Genomic DNA, 16657 nt, shown 5'->3' on the forward strand with positions numbered 1-16657 from the left:
TCTGAAGAAGAAAGCTAAAAAAACTGAAAATCAATGACTCTTCTTAAATCCATCAGAAAATTGAGGTGACAAGACCAATTACTGACTCAAAAGCTGGAAAGAGAAAGATATGGAGAACCAGAGTGTACTGAGCAAAAGCCCCAGCTAGTAGAAACACTTAAAGGGTGATGGACTAATTCCTAGAGGCTGAGAATGGACTACTTCAGTAGAGAAAAAACCCCTCAGGGCCCAGCTGTGGTGGTGATGGGGATACATGATGAGTTGCAACTCCAAGAGACTACCAGATTCTCAAGGTGAAGATCAGAGAGAAAACCCTGCCTGATTTGAGCAAGGGGAAGGAAAGTAATCATTTTGAAATACACTTGGAGCATTTCAGTCTCATTAATAGTGGTAAATCCTAAAGGAAAACTATGTTATTTCCTTAAGGAAAACTTAGATCAACTAAGATGGGTTTTACCAGAGCCTAACCAATGAGGGGGAAGGGAAACACAAAATCTCAGCCCCCGTTCCCCTCCTATCCCACCTAAGACGGTGAAAAAAGCATGAGGAAGCATTTGTGAAGATTACATCCCAGGAACATAGGCCCATTAAAAGACTGAGACTCAGTTATAGAACTACAAAACATTTAGCTTTCCCCCATACCTTACCACTGTATCAATAGAACACTTTTATAATAAGAGAGGATTACAGATAAAAAGAACTGCAAGGCTCAGATTATTTTAGAAGACATCTGTAGGGAAACCAAAGACAACAGGGGAGTTGAAAACAAGGGCACTAGAAGAAATTTTAGCCTCGGATACCTATAGCAACAGCAAACAGTAAACACAGCCTAACTCCTTCCTAGATAAATATAAAATTGCACACTAAAGGAATATTTACCTCGGTTTCCTTTACACAGTACACCATGTCTGGCTCAAAAAAACAAAAACAAAAACTCAGGGCATACTAAAAAGAAAAAACACAGACTAAAGAGGCAAATCAAGCATCAGAATCAGACTGGGATGTGGCAGCAATTTTAGAATTATCAGACTAGGCATTTAAAATAATGGATTAATATGCTAATGGCTCTCATAGCAAAAGTAGGCAACATGCAAAAGCAAATGGGAAATGTAAACAGAGAGATGGAAACTCTAAGAAAACATAAAACTTAAACTTTAGAAATCGAAATGAAAGAACATCTTTGATGGTCTCATTAGTAGACTTAACACAATTAAGGAAATCAGTGAGCTTGAAGATATGTTAATAGAAACTTCCCAAATGAAATGGCAATGAGAAAAAATAATGGGAAGAAAACAGAACTGAATATGTAATAGCACTAGAGGGATTTTTTAATAGACTTTATTTTTTAGAACAAATTTAGACTTGCAGTAAAATTAAGAAAATGGTACAGAGATTTCCAGTATATCTTCTGCCCAGTTTCACTATTATGGGCATCTTACATTAGTAAGCATACATGTTACAATTAGTGAACCAATACTGATACATAAGTATTCACTAAAGTCCATATATTTTTCCATTTTCTTAGTTTTTACCTAATTTTTTTTGTTTCATGTCCCATCCAGAGTGCCGTGTTACATTTAGTCATCATGTCTGTCTCCTTAGGCCCCTCTTACCTGTGACAGGTTTTCAGACTTCCCTTATTTTTGATAATCCTGATTGTTTTGAGGAGTACTATTTGGGCATTTTGTAGAATATCATTCTCTGGGGATTTGTCTGACGTTTTTATTATGTTGTAAACTTGAGTTATGGTTGTGCTGGGAGGAAGCCCAAGGCAAAATGCCATTTTATCACATCATATCAAGGGTACATACTGTCAACATGACTTGTCACCCTTGATGGTGACCTTGACCACCTGGCTGAAGAATCGTTTGCCAGGTTTCTCCACCACAAAGTTACTCTTTTCCCCTGTTTCCATGCTATATTCTTTAGAAGGCAGCCATTCTGCACAGCCAATACTTAAGAGGTAGGGAATCATGCAATACCTCCTTGAGGGAGGAACATCTGCATAAAATATTTGGAATTTGTCTCTTTTCCCATTTATTTATTTGTTTAGTTATTTGTAGGCCAGTGTGGACTCATCAATATTTCTATTACACTTTGGGTTATAATTCAATACTACTTTATTCTGTTGTTCAAATTGTTCCAGCTTTAGCCACGGGATATCTTTCAATTGGTTCCTGTATCCTCTGACATATCCCCAGAATTAGAAGATTATTTATTTATTTTGAGTATATCCTCAATTTCTGGCACTGGAAGACATTCCAGGCTAATCTTGTATATTGCCTGCCTCAGTCTTAGAATTGTTGCTCATGTCTTATATTGGAGAGTGGCATTAGAAACTATGATCTGAGCACTAAGTGTGCTCATTGCTACTGGGTGTCATTTTACTTAGATTCTCTCAGTTGACAGAGCAAGGAAATACATGTGTATATGATAGGTCATACACATACACATCTATAAATTTTTCTATATGTAATTATCTGGATCTATATTAAGACAAACATGAGGTCATACTGATGTCTCCAATTCTAATCTATTACTACATGGATGATTCTAGTTCCCCTTGCTTGTCTGCAAATTCCTGTGCAACTAGGAAACCTGGCCCGTACATCTGCCATCCATTAACCTAATTGCTCAATTCCAATATACATGTGTCATAATAGCATGTATCCATCATTACAGTAACAAATAAATTATTTCGCTGCCCTAAAAAATCCCTTGTGCGTCACCTATAATCTTCTCTCTCTCTCCTTGAACCTCTCATTACCATTGATCTCTTTAGTTTCACTCTAGTTTTGCCTTTTCCAGAATGTCATAAAATTTAAATCATACAGGATGCAGTCTTTTAAGAGTGGCTTCTGAAAGTGAGACTTGGAAATATGCATTTTGGTATCATCCATGTCATTTCGTGGTTTGGTAGCTCTTTTTAAAAATCACTGACTAGTATTCCTTTATATGGATATGCTGCAGTTTATCCATTCACCTATTAAAAGATATCTTGGTTGATCTAGTTTTTATCAAGTATGAATAAATCTGCTATTATGAATAAATATGCTATCAACATTCATGTGTGGGTTTTTAGATGAACCTAAGTTTTAAATACAGTTGGGTAAATACCTGGGAGTTCAATTGCCACATTGCATGGTAATCCAACTGTTTAGTTTTGTAAGGGAAAAGAGGGTTAATTTTTAAAATTACCCCCAGTACCAATGTTTTATGATCCTACCAAAATATAGGATTTATATCCATTCTATATCAATGGTTAATAATGATAAAATGCAAAACATGAATGGGAGGGAACATGAAAATGATGATATACTAGCACTATTTTTCCCCAGAGTATTCTTTTCAGTGAATTAATACTTTATCTCAACCAGCTCATTTGGGATTAACAATAAATTCACATAGGGAAATAGGTGCTGATCTCTGTGACTGCCACCTTAGACATCTTGAAACCTATCATTGTCTTTCAGGCTAACAGTCATTAAGAAGTAATTCTCTTTTTTAGGGTTTCAGGGAGTATTCACTGGCCTATCTCTGGCAATCAGTGAGATGTGTTCATTCCAGCAATTTCAATGTTATATAGTCAGGTGACATTAGCCCAGTTGTTTATGAACTGTTGAGCAAAATGCAATCTGACTCTTTTAAAAAGAAAAAAACACAAACTTTTATTTTAACTTCAGAGGTACATGTGCAGGTTTGTTATATAGGTAAACTTGTGTCATGAGGGTTTGTTGTACAGATTATTTCACCATCCAGGTATTAAGCTAGTACTCAATAGTTACTTATTTCTGATCCTCTCCTTCCTCCCACTCTCCACCTGCAAGTAGGCCCCAGTGTCTGTTGTTCCCTTCTTCGTGTCCATGTGTTCTCATCATTTAGCTCTCACTTGTAAGTGAGAACATGTGGTATTTAGTTTTCTGTTCCTGCATTAGTTTGCTAAGGATAATGGCCTCCAGTTCCATTCATGTTGCTGCAAAGGACATGATCTTGCCCTTTATTATGGATGCATAGTATTCCATATGCACATGGTGTATATGTACCACATTTTCTTTATCCAGTCTACCATTAATGGGCATTTATGTCGATTCTTTGTCTTTGCTGTTGTGAATAGTGATGCAAAGATCATATGTGTGCATGTATCTTTGTGATAGAATGATTTATATTCCTTTGGGTATATAGCCAGTAATAGGATTGCTGGGTTGAAAGATAGCTCTGGTTTTAGCTCTTTGAGGAATAGCCACAATGCCTTCCACAATGGTTGAACTAAGTTACACTCCCACCAACAATGTATAAGTATTTCCTTTCCCCCACAACCTCACCAGCATCTGTTACTTTTTGACTTTTTAATAATAGCCATTCTGACTGGTGTGAAATAGTATCTCATCATGGTTTTGATTTGCATTTCTCTAATGATCAGTTATGTTAGGCTTTTTTTTCATATGCTTGTTGGCTGCATGTATGTTTTCTTTTGAAAAGTATCTGCTCATGTCCTTTGCCCAATTTTTAATGTTTTTTTCCTTGTAAATTTGTTTAATTTCATTGTTTACCCAAATGTCATTCAGAAGCAGGTTTTTCATTTCCATGTAACTGTACAGTTTTGAGCAATTTTCTTAGTTTTAACTTCTATTTTAATTGCACTGTGGTCCAAGAGAGTGGTTGGTATGATTTCAGTTTTTTGTATTTGCTAAGGATTGTTGTATGTCCAATTATGTGGTTGATTTTAGGGTATGTGCCATGTGGCAATGAGATGAATGTATATGCTGTTGTTTTGGGATGGAGAGTTCTGTAGAGGTCTATTAGGTCCATTTGGTCCAGTGTTGAGTACAGGTCCTGAATGTCTTTGTTAATTTTCTGCCTCAATGATCTGTCTAATACTATCAGTGGGGTGTTGAAGTTTCCCACTATTATTGTGTGGGAGTCTAAATATCTTTGAAGGTCTCTAAGAAATTGCTTTATGAACCTGGGTGCTCCTGTGTTGGGTGCATATATATTTAGGATAGTTAGATCTTCTTGTTGAATTGAACCCTTTACCATATGTAATGCTCTTCTTTGTCTTTTTTGATCTTTGTTGGTTTAAAGTCTGTTTTGTCTGAAATTGGAATTGCAACCCCTGCTTTATTTCTGTTTTCCATTTGCTTGATAGATTTTTCTACAGCCCTTTATTTTGAGCCTATTGGTGTCACTGCATGTGAGATGGGTCTCTTGAAGACAGCATAGAATTGGATCTTGCTTCTTTATCCAGCTTGCCACTCTGTGCCTTTTAACTGGGGCATTTGGTCCATTTACATTCAAGGTTAGTATTGATATGTGTGAATTTTATCTTCCCATTGTTCTGTTAGCTGTTTATTATGCAGACTTGTTTATATGACTGCTTTATAGTGTGACTGATCTGTGTACTTAAGTGTCTTTTTGTAGTGTCTAGTAACTGTCTTTTCCATATTTAGTACTTCTTTCAGCAGCTCTCATAAGGCAGGTCTGGTGGTAATGAATTTCCTCAGTATGTACTTGTCTGAAAAGGATCTTATTTCTCCTTCACTTATGAAGCTTAGTTTGGCTGGATATGAAATTCTTTATTGGAACGTCTTTTCTTTAAGAATGTTGAATATAGCACCCCCGCCTCCCCATCTCTTTTGGCTTGTAGTGTTTCTGCTGAGGGATCCACTGTTAATCTGATGGGCTTCCCTTTGTAGGTGATTTGTCCTTTCTCCCTACCTATGTTTAACATTTTTTCTTTCATTTCAACCTTAGAGAATCTAATGATTATACATCTTGGGGATCATCTTTTTGTGAAGCATCTTGCAGGAGTTCTCTGTGTTTCCTGAATTTGAATGTTGGCCTCTCTAGCTAGGTTAGGGAAGTTCCCATAGATGATATCCTGAAATATTTTTTCCAAGTTGCTTCCATTCTCCTCTTTCAGGGATGCCAAAATATTGCAGATTTAGTCTCTTTACATAATCCCGTGTTTCTTTGAGTTTTTGTTCGTTCCTTTTCATTCTTTTCTTTATTCTTGTCTGACTGTCTTATTTCAGAAAGCCAGTCTTCAAGCTCTGAGATTCATTCCTCAGCTTGGTCTATTCTGCTGTTAATACAGGCAGTTGTATTATGAAATTCTTGTAGGGTGTTTTTCAGCTCTATCAGGTCAGTTATGTTGTTCTCTTCTGTACTGGTCATTTTCTCTGCCAGCTCATGTATCATTTTCTTGTGATTCTTAGCTTCCTTGGATTGGGTTTCAACATTCTCTGGAATCTTGATTATCTTCATTCCTATCCATATTTTGAATTCTATTTCCACCATTTCAGCCCAGTTATGAACCCTTGCTGGAGAATTAGTGTGGTCACTTGGAGGAAAGAAGGCACTCTGGCTTTTTGAGTTGTCAGAGTTCTTGTGCTGGTCCATTTTTGTCTTTGTGGACTTGTGTTCCTTCAGTCATTAAAGTTGCTGTTCTTTGAATGATTTTTTTTTCTTTTATCCTATTTTATGACCTTGAGGGATTGATTGTGGTATAAGGTGGTTTTGGTCAACTGGCTTCATTTCTGGAAGATTTTAGGGGGCCAAGGCTCAGCTCAGGCCTCCTGGACTACATTCTCTAATTCTGGGGGACTGGTATCTGGTCCTGGCTTTGTTCTATGGCCCTTGGAGGTTAGGAACCTGCTGTGCTAGAGGCTCCACGGTTGTCCCAGACTACTGGTCACAACACTATGATGGGTGATGTCATCCAAATTGCTTCATGAGGTAGTGGCAGTGGGATCCATCCTTGTTTGCACATGCCAGCCTCAGCAGCAGTGGCATTATGGTGGGGTACAAACTCATCAGCTATGGTGGGGTGCCAGCAGGTGCCAGGGTGCCAGACTCTGAGTTTGGAGCAGCAGTGATGGCAGCATGACATGGTGGGATGGGGTGAGGGGGACCCTACCAGCATGTGTGTGTGCATTCACACTGGAGGTGGTTATTAGCATGGCGGTGGGATGCTGCTGTGCACAGGACTGTGTATGTCCTCTGTGTGAATTCCTGTATATGGCAGTTGCTGCTCAGTGTGGGAGTGTGTCCAGTGTTCTCTGTGCCTAGTTTTATGCCAACAGCAGTGTTGGCACAAGGGCAGGATGCTGGTGGGGGTGGGACTGGTAGGCTCCATGCCTGACAATGCTCTGACAGGTGCAGTGAGGGTAGGGAGGTAGGGTGCACTCATGCTTCCAGCAGTAGCATGGCAGGGTGCATGTGCACATGTATGCTGACAAGGAAAGATAGGCAAGGTCCACTCGCTTACACACACACCAGCAAAGCAATGTAGGGGATGTCCATGGGCAAATGCATGCAGGCAAAGCAGCACAGGGAAGGCTGCAGTGGGAATGAGAACATGAGTGTGTTGGTATATGCCCATGGGGGCTGCTCTGCTGGAGCTCTCCGCTGGTCAGCTGCCATCCACCAGGGCAGGAGCTATGATATGGCCCCTAGGAGGTACACAGCCCCCTCACCAGAACCCAAAGCTGCACTGCAAACAGGCGTGGTCAGGCTGGGGCCATGGAAGAGCCCAGGAGACTGAGGGATACTAAGATCAGACTGGCTCCATCTCATGGACAAGACGCTCTGCTGAGCTCAGGTCCAACATTTCCCCTGGTGTTAAAGTCTCCTATGGGAGCAAGTCAAGCCTAAGGGGATGAGCATTCCTGGCAGTGCTCCACTGCAGACACTCTCACACCAAACCCTCTGGGCCACTGAGGCTGGAGTTCTGCCCCTACCATTTCTCTAAGCAGCTCTTCCTGCCAACTCAAGTGTCTGTGTTGGTCAAGGGGTCTCCTCCTGCCAGGGTTCCAGAGGACTTTGGTGACAGCAGGTTGTTCCTTGCCTGTTCAACTCACCCCTTCCCCAGGAGCCACTGGAGGCCAGGAATGAGTTCCAGTGCACAATAGCCCTGTGTGGGGTTCCCAGCTTCCTCTGCCTTCAGCCCAGCTTCTGTGTCTTCCCTCTGTCAACTCTCAATGCTTCCCTCTGAAGATCTGCTAGGAAGGGACCAGTCTTTCTGATGACCTGGTCCCTCACTGGCAGATGTTCCTCTTGGCGCCATTTAGTCGGCCATCTTGATTATGTATATCACAATCTGATTCTTAAAATTGAAACATTTTTGGAAAGAAACTCGATAAAATTTTGAAATTTTTAAAAATCTTAGTTTTCACAATGTTGTTTAAATTTGAATTAAATAATGTTACAGATTTTGAGATTCATTATGGACTATATTCATTTGCTCAGGCTGCCATAGCAAAGTACCGCAGTGTGGGTGGCTTAAACAACAAAAATCTATATTCTTACAATTCTGCAGGCTAGAAATCTCAGGTCAAGGTGTCAGCGGGATTGGTTTCTTCTGAGGCCTCCCTCCTTGGCTTGTAGATAATCGTCTTCATATGCTCTTTCCTCTGTGTGTGTGTGTGTGTGTGTGTGTGTCCTAATGCCCTCTTTTTATAAGGACACTGGTCATATTGAATTAGAACTCACACTAATGGATTCATTTTAACTTAATTATTTCTGTAAAGACTCTATTTCCAAATAAGGCCACATTCTGAGGTGCTGGGGGTTAGTGCTATACGGCACATGAGTTTTTGGTGGGCAGAGAGGGGAATAGAATTCAGCCTAATATATGTACTTTAGTTTCTCACTATCAATTTTCAAACTAACAGTCATCACAAATTCAGTACAGACTTGATTTACCAGGAGTGTCATATACGAGCTTTATAAAAAGTGAGTCAGGAAACTTTTTTTTTTTTTCATTTCAGGAAAGCACTCAGGGGTGCCCAGCAGGACAGCCTCCAGCTCTTCCAATCAGAGCTGTAACACCATTTCCTGAAACACCGTTTTCAACTAAGCTTTGGAGTGACAAAAATACCTGTTATCACGGACTAATGCCTCCAGGAAAGAAATCCTCGTGATATGCATCTGTCCCCAATATGGCCACAGTAAATCTGAGAGGAAGAAGGCACAGGTAAAAATTAGGCTTGCTCATAGAATACAATATTTATGACTGTTGTTTACGCCTGCTTGTTTTACAGAGGAAAATTAAGAGCTGTGGAAATTAAAGACTAAGATACGCAGCTAGCTAAAAGCAGAGCCTAAGTTCCAGGTTCCTGATCCACTGCTCATTATTCTTTGAAGAAAAGATCACTCATATTGTTAAGGATTCTTTAGATCTTATATAGAAATCTACAACATTTACACCTCTATTCTGAATATTTAACTGACTCTGAAATATACAAGGCACTGTGCTGGGCCCTGAGGAATAAAAATTTTGTGTAAGACTCCAAAGCTGCACTTAGAGGGCTTGTGATTGTATGGAGGTAGCTAGTGGGAAGGAGATTGGAACGTGTTCCCAAAAGTTTCTAGAAAAAAATAATTTAATACAAATGTTGTGTGAATGGAACAGAAAGGTACCACAGGTACACTAAGGGTAAAGAAAGTACTTCCTGAGGGAGTAATCAATAAAGCTAAGATTCCTACAATTGATCAATGTCCAACAGGAGACCTTGGGTTTTTCAATAAAAGCCATTAAGCAGCAACAGTGATCTCAATCCCATAAAAGGATTCCATAAACCAAACATTTAGTTGGTATAGATAAATAACTGTAAGATACCTTATTAAATGTCCCACTATTAAAATTAAGCTTTACAATTATCTACCAATTGGACAATGCCACCAACACATGACAGTATTAGTGTTCTTGTTTTATAAACGTTGTCGTGTGTGTGTGCGTGCACACGTGTCTTTGTATATGAATGTGTATGTATACATATATAACAAACAGGGGTGTTATTGAAAAACATTTAATGAAGTTAATGTAAAGTATTAATGTCCAAAGCAAAAAATTAAGACTATATTTTTATTTTCTAGACAGAACTATGTGTTTATATGCATAATAAAACTGCTTTCCAAGTGATGTAAGTTCAAGTCACTTTAATCATTCCCAAATCACCTGCTGAGGTTTAGCATTTCTTTTCCACATATCCCATCACACTGTGTCCCTCCTCACTGGGTTTCCGCTGCACACTTGGTTGCAGTGAAGGAATGGCTGCTGTAAGGGTCTGTCTGCTCTTGGTTCCCCAGCGCTCCCAGAGGCCGTGAGCCAGGACGTGTCCACCAACACTGGGGCCTGCAGCCTCATCCACTGCCCCTGCCTGCTGAAGCTTGGAGTGAGGGGGCAGTGACCCCTAGGCCCTTCTCCCACCTCCAGCTCTGTGTGCCCCACAGTCATGGGGCCGCCTGCATTTGGGCTGACTCACAGCCTCTGCTGGGGACACCATCCTCTTATGCTCTTTGCCAAATGGTGTGGAAGACTTTGCAGCCTTTATGCTTCACACAGAAGCTACGGTTTGAGTGTGCGCGTGTGTGGGGGGGGTGTGTGTGGTGTGTGAGATTTATGTTTGTTAGATAATAAATGATTCTAAGCATTTAAGTCAGTTATAGCCTCTCTTTTATGGAGAGTGAAGGCAGTAAAAGATTCCCTCCTCCCCACCCTTCACTTTACCTTATATTGTTGTCTGAAAATCTATTATCAGACTTAAAGGAAAGATGGACTAAATTATGCTCCAAATATTTTGAGTTGTATAAGGCCAACTTTAAACCCCGCTAGCCTTCCTGTTCTGTAAAGCTTTAATGAACTTGTTTCTCTATCTAGTCATAGAAACCAAAACCCCAACTACCATTAATTCAGATCAAATAAATTGCTACTACTCTGAGAAGAAATAATTATGGACTCTTTGATGTTTTCTTCAGCTTATTAACTTTATATAATTTGCCTTGGGAAATATATTTTAACCCAGTATCAAAAAAGTACATATCTATTTATACTTCTGATTCCTAACTCAAAATCTCAAACAGTCGAATATGTTAACAGATTAAGAAGATAAGCATTTTTATCTTTGTTTCTAGTGCACAAAGAAACTAGGTCTGAGAACTGTTAAATAATACATTCATAGTCATAAAACCAGTCGATGGAGGTGATTTCGAATATAAATTTCTCTGCCTCCCAAAACCATGATTCTTTAACTTTCTTATAATGTTGTCAGTGATAATATTTGCATAAATTTGACACAGTAATATTTAGGAATCTGAGATAATATGCAATGACAAATTTACTTTTTACCACAAACACTTTATTACGATAGGGAAATTATTCATATCTAAGAGAAATTGTTTTCTGTGTCCTTATAAAATGTTTCAATTTATTGCTCAATTCCACTGTTAATAATTTCATTGTATTATTCTCTGCCACCACTAGGCTGTCTTTTTAGTTGTATTCATTGTCTGGCTTTCTGTGGCCCAGCAGTAGTCAGAGGAATGGGGTTTACATGAGTCTCTTAAAAGCCTTAGCATTTATGTATTACTATTCCTTAAAGAGGATGTGAATTGGTGAGCTAACGAGGTTTTGAAGAAAGGCTGAATCTACTTGGGATGATTCTTTTTATCATGCAGAGCAGTAGATTTCCCATATGCACTGTGGAGAGGTGAGTGGGGAGGTTTTCAGTGGAAGAATGGGGTGAAATTCTGTAGCCTTCTAGCGCTGTGCATTCCAGTTTCTATTGCTACATAACAAACTGCTGCGGAACATGGTGGCACAAAACAAACTCAGCTGCACTCACAAATTCTGTAGGTAAGGAATTTGGAGACAGCAAGAATGGATTGCTCTGAACCACATTGTCTGGATTCCCAGCTGCAAAGACAAAAGCTGAGAGTGACTGTACGGCCAGCAGTTGAAATCTAGGGCAATGCCTTCAACTCACCTACCTGGCAGTTGATGTCCTCTGTTGGCTGGGGCCTCAGTGGGGCAGTTACATGTGGCATCTCAGCAAGGGCTTGCCTGGGATTTGTCACAAGATGACAGCTGGTTCCAAGGGTAAGAATCCCAAAAGGGAAAGGCAGAAATGCAGGGTGTATTTTGATTTCATCTCAGAAGTCACATACTCTGTGGATTGTGACATTAACATTGGTCTGTCCGTGTTCAAGGGAGGAATAGACCAAGCACCAGATAAGAGGCATGCAAAGGTCTTATTGTATGAAGATCATTTAGAATAAAAGACACTGTACCATTTGGGGACATCCAGTCTCCTGCAATGAGTCAGATCTTAAAAATATACTTTCATTACTTTGTGAGCCATGTGATTTCCCAATAGCACAAGCAAGTAGGAAAAGAATCAATGATCTGAGACTATTTGACAATTAAATTTCTCATATCATGAGACTCTCCCTAGAAGACAATGAAAGTTGACTGTATATTTGTTCTTCACAACTGAATCTTTACTCCTTCAGTATTCCTATGATATAGACAGTGTAATGTACAGTAGCTGATACTTTACCCATCGATTGCCAGTCATTAGGATCTGTTTTATGAAAATGGTGAGAAAGACACTAGCAAAGCCTGCTTGAGTAGATATGGCCAGGAAAACTCAGTGCAACCAGCAGCTGAATCACAAAACACAGAAGCCTAACCATACCTGAACACTTCACCAAAACAAGTCAGTAGCAAAGACAGTGTTGGCTCACAAAGTTTTTACTCCCTGTCAAAATATTTGTGGGGTTTTTTTGGAAAGGGGTGGGATATGGGATAGTGTTAACATCCTTACTTATGTTTGAACAAATATTTAAATGACAGAATCCAAAGAAACCTCCCTTAAAGCAAATAATTTTTGCCTGAATGTTGATCTAACTACAAAGACCCTCGTTCTTTAAAAGTAGCCCTTAGAAGTAAATGCTGATATGGAAGAACAATTTCAAAATGTGACTTAAAGAAAAGCCGAGATCTGTTTTTAAATTTGAAAATGAAGTTGTGGGGAAGCTCATAGAATGAAAGAAGACACCGCAGAGGGTCATCGTATCACAGTGTGGTCATCAAAGCAGAGTTCCAAAATGTCAACAAGCTATGGGAAAATATTTTGTACTTTGCCAGTAAAAGTCATCATAAAAGACAAACCTAATCAGTATTTGGTGGTGCACTCCTCAGTTTGTCCCAGAGAATGATAAATACTCTTAATTTTCACTTCAATTGAAGTATGCTGCAGCTGGCATAGGTCACAGTGTTGTGTGGGGTTGCAAGGCGGATGGCAGAATCCCCTTCTTTGTAAGTAAGCTAAAGACACATTATTTTGTGTCTTTTCCTCTTATTGTCCCTGCATCATAATCACTTCTCTATGCCAACAATATACCTAGATCTACATATCTCAAAACGGTGTGTCATTTAGAGGGGACAGTCATAGGATAAATTAGGTCCAGAGAGCCACCATATGACAAAGTCCATGAGTTAAAGAGCCCATCTTTACAGAAGGTCCAGGAAAAGCATTAATTTAGTCAGCAGAGGGAAGCAATTGTTGTATCTTGTGTTTTGTGTTAGCAGTCGCATTTTTAGAGTTTTTATTTCTAACAACTGAAAATACTCATTGATTTCTAACAGATGTCACCTTGTACTATTTAAAAAATAATGTCAGTATTAGAACTCTTCAAAGGTATCCCTTACTCTAAGGCTTCTGTGTTAAATTTTACTAATTTTAAGTATCTTCTATTCTTTTCTATTAATACAAAATGCATAAACTTAGATATTAGTTGCTACTTAGAATTGATACTAGGGAATGAAAATGTTCTCAGTGTGGGTTTTCTTCTTGGTGATATGTGAATTTGGAGCCTATTTCCCAGAGTGGAAGGGAAGAAGTAGTGCAAGGTGTCAGAACTCCGTGTCCCTCCAGCCCGGGGCAGACTGTGCCAGTGACACTTCTGTTCTTATTGTCCACTCACCCCACACCTTAGGTCACTCTCCACCTCCACCAGCAAATATGCTCTCCACATGCGTTCCTTTAAAAGCTGTCCTCCCCATTTTTCCATTCTCCCAGATTCATCCCCTTCCTTCTTGTAGAGCCATTGAGGAAAGGGTCAAAGTGTAACTAGATGAAACTGTGGTAGATAACCATTGTATTCCTCTTTCCAGCATTGCTTTCTCTTCTCTGGTAGTAGGATCCATCTTTCCAGTGGAAACCCATTCTATAAGGATCAAGGAAAACTAACCCTTCTTGATGCCTCCCTGCTAGTACACACATGCACATGCACCCAAGGGGCTCTGGGAACACATCACTGAGCCCAGACCCACTAAAGCACACATCCCCCAGCAATGGGATTGGTTCAGGGATAGGACAGTTAGAATCTCATCCTAGAATATATGGGTTCTGGAAAAAAGAGGGTCTCTCTGTTCCTCAGTTTTTATGAGCTGCATGGACTATGTGAGCCTGGACCTGCCAGTGCCACACTTAAAGATACATGGCCTGAAAATGAAGGTGCCAGAGAAATACAGAGAGAAATAGAGCCCTGGCGTCATCATTTGAACACTGAATCTGCCCATATCCCTCATCTGAGACATCAGCTCCCTGAGCTTCACTGCAGGGGAAGCCCCATGACTTGTGAATCAGCAACGCTGTGCTCCCTCTTAGGTGAGAAAGTAACCAACCCAGTCCTTTCCCCTTCCTAGGACAAACCCTCACTTCCAGAAGGCATGAACCAATGGTGATAAGGCAATCCATTTGTCAAGAATGAATCACTTTTATATTTGGAGAAGGAAACAAAACTTTCATTATGCAGAAAGACGAAAGACCTGTGTTTCCTCTTGCTAGATACTCAGGCCTTCTTCCTAGCACATAGTGATATCCAAGTTTTATTTTGCAGCTACTGATGGGAAGGAGATGGCAGTAGGAATGAGTCATGTCCCAACTACCCACTAGATCTCATGAGTTCGTTATGTGTCAGGTGACTATGAGAAGCAGCCCATGGGAATCCAGAGTCATGTTATTTTAGAACTGGAAGAAACCATAGAAATCATTCAATCCAATGTTTATGTAGTGAGGCCAATTGAAAATAATAATAATTTTATCAACTAACACTTAGTGAGTACTTACTATAGTTATATGAGCACAATAACTTTATGTGAATATTTGGTCACTATTTTACTGAGGAGACTATAGTGTAGAAAAGATAGCATTTTGCACAAAACCACACTAATCCCAAATGGAGCTGAGACTTGAAACTAAGCTGTCTAATTCCCAAGTCTATCCTAGTTTTTATTCTCCCAATCTCATTAGTTGCAATTCACTAACCTCCATGAACACTGACCCTCAGAATTCCCATCATTTTGCATGTAAAAATCACATTTTTCCCACCTCTTCCACTTACTAACAATGTGGCTTTGGCAAATTTACTTGACAGACACAAGTTTTATACAACTAACTCATAGGTCTGTTGAGAGTAGTAATTCAGGACACATGAAACACTTGGTATAACAATAAATATAAGGATTTATAATTATTGATGTTATCAGTAGCAGCATTGTTCTTTTTAAACAAAAACTTGCTGATACATTTCCCTAGTAAATAACTCTCAAGCTTGAACAACATATTTTTAACCTGAATTTCTGGGTGAGATGTGTTACGACATACAAATATCAAGTTTTATTGATAATTTCAAAAATACAGAATATCTCCAGTTTGGGTGAAGTGAGAGAAATCTGGGACTAAAAGGGTGGTTCCTAGTCCTTCCTTCCTGCATCAGACATGGTCTCTTCCCCTAAATAATAGCTGGAGTTTCTAATGAAGTTGCAGTTCAACTCAAACAACAAGGAGAACATCTAAGTTATGAAACACGTCCATTGTATAACCCAAAATCATAAACCCTTAGATTATAGGTTTATTATAAGTAATCCTCTAGCCAGGGACATCCTGCTAAAGATATTCTGTAGGTTTTTTCCACATAGCAAAAATCACTATTTATCACAGGTCTAGTTGGCAAGGAGAATAGACAGTCACTGTTTTCTTTGCTTTCTCCACTTAGTTGCCCGGTGGTGAGGGGGCTTCCTCACAAAACAAATGAACTGGTTGCAGACCAGCTATTTTAACTCTTTCCTCCCTAGTTCCATTAAAAAATATTAAAAACAGCTACACTAGATCCTGTAGTTCAGTCTGTGTCTTATATGCACTTTTATAGCATAGCTCATAACAATGTCTCCTCTGCTAGTGTCATTCCGAGGCTATATTGCTGCCAAATTATTTGGCTTCCAATATATTGGCTTCCTCGACCAACTCAAATTCAAATAAGTCATATATTATTGAAAGCAGTTGCCACTTTAACTGTCTCCAAATATTTGAATAATTTTTATTTTAACTTTTCTAGTAATTTCAAGTATAAGATAAATACACAGATAAAACAATTTTAAAAATATATCTAGGTAGATGGATAGTGTAACCAAGTACCTCCATTTTTCTAAGTTGGTTGAATTTTTTTTATTATTTTCTCTTCTTTTCTTCTTTCCCCATTACCCCTACTCCCTTCTTCCTACTTAGTCCTTTAGAAATGCAAATGCAACCTTTCACCTCCCCTCGCCAGACATTCCCTACAGGGTAAGTTCATCTATGTGCTCCAAGATCTCTCCTTGACAGTGGATTTGCAGACCAAAGCATGCCCCAGGGAACCCTCACATCTAGGGAGTCACCTCAGGAGAGCATGTCAAAAGCATGCCCACTTGGCCACTTTTACAACTTATTTCTGACCAGGAAGGTACCAACTCAACTGCCCAGTACATAACTGCCCAGTAGGAGGGGGACAACTTCCCTAGCTCATTTGCTCCCCTACCTTATAAAAGTGCCCG

The 16657-nt window shown here is 39.5% G+C and overlaps 1 long non-coding RNA gene across 1 annotated transcript in view; it reads left to right on the forward strand.

The window, feature by feature from the left end:
- LOC105375836 (uncharacterized) overlaps positions 1 to 16657 on the forward strand; it is a 52683-nt gene that overhangs the window by 29960 nt on the left and 6066 nt on the right. Inside the window, exon 2 of the long non-coding RNA NR_188096.1 lies at positions 8769 to 8974. This is a non-coding gene — a long non-coding RNA (uncharacterized LOC105375836). The remainder of the gene's footprint in view (positions 1 to 8768; positions 8975 to 16657) is intronic.

The sequence above is a fragment of the Homo sapiens genome, chromosome 8 (assembly GCF_000001405.40).
Source record: "Homo sapiens chromosome 8, GRCh38.p14 Primary Assembly".
Classification (NCBI taxonomy): Eukaryota; Metazoa; Chordata; class Mammalia; order Primates; family Hominidae; genus Homo; species Homo sapiens.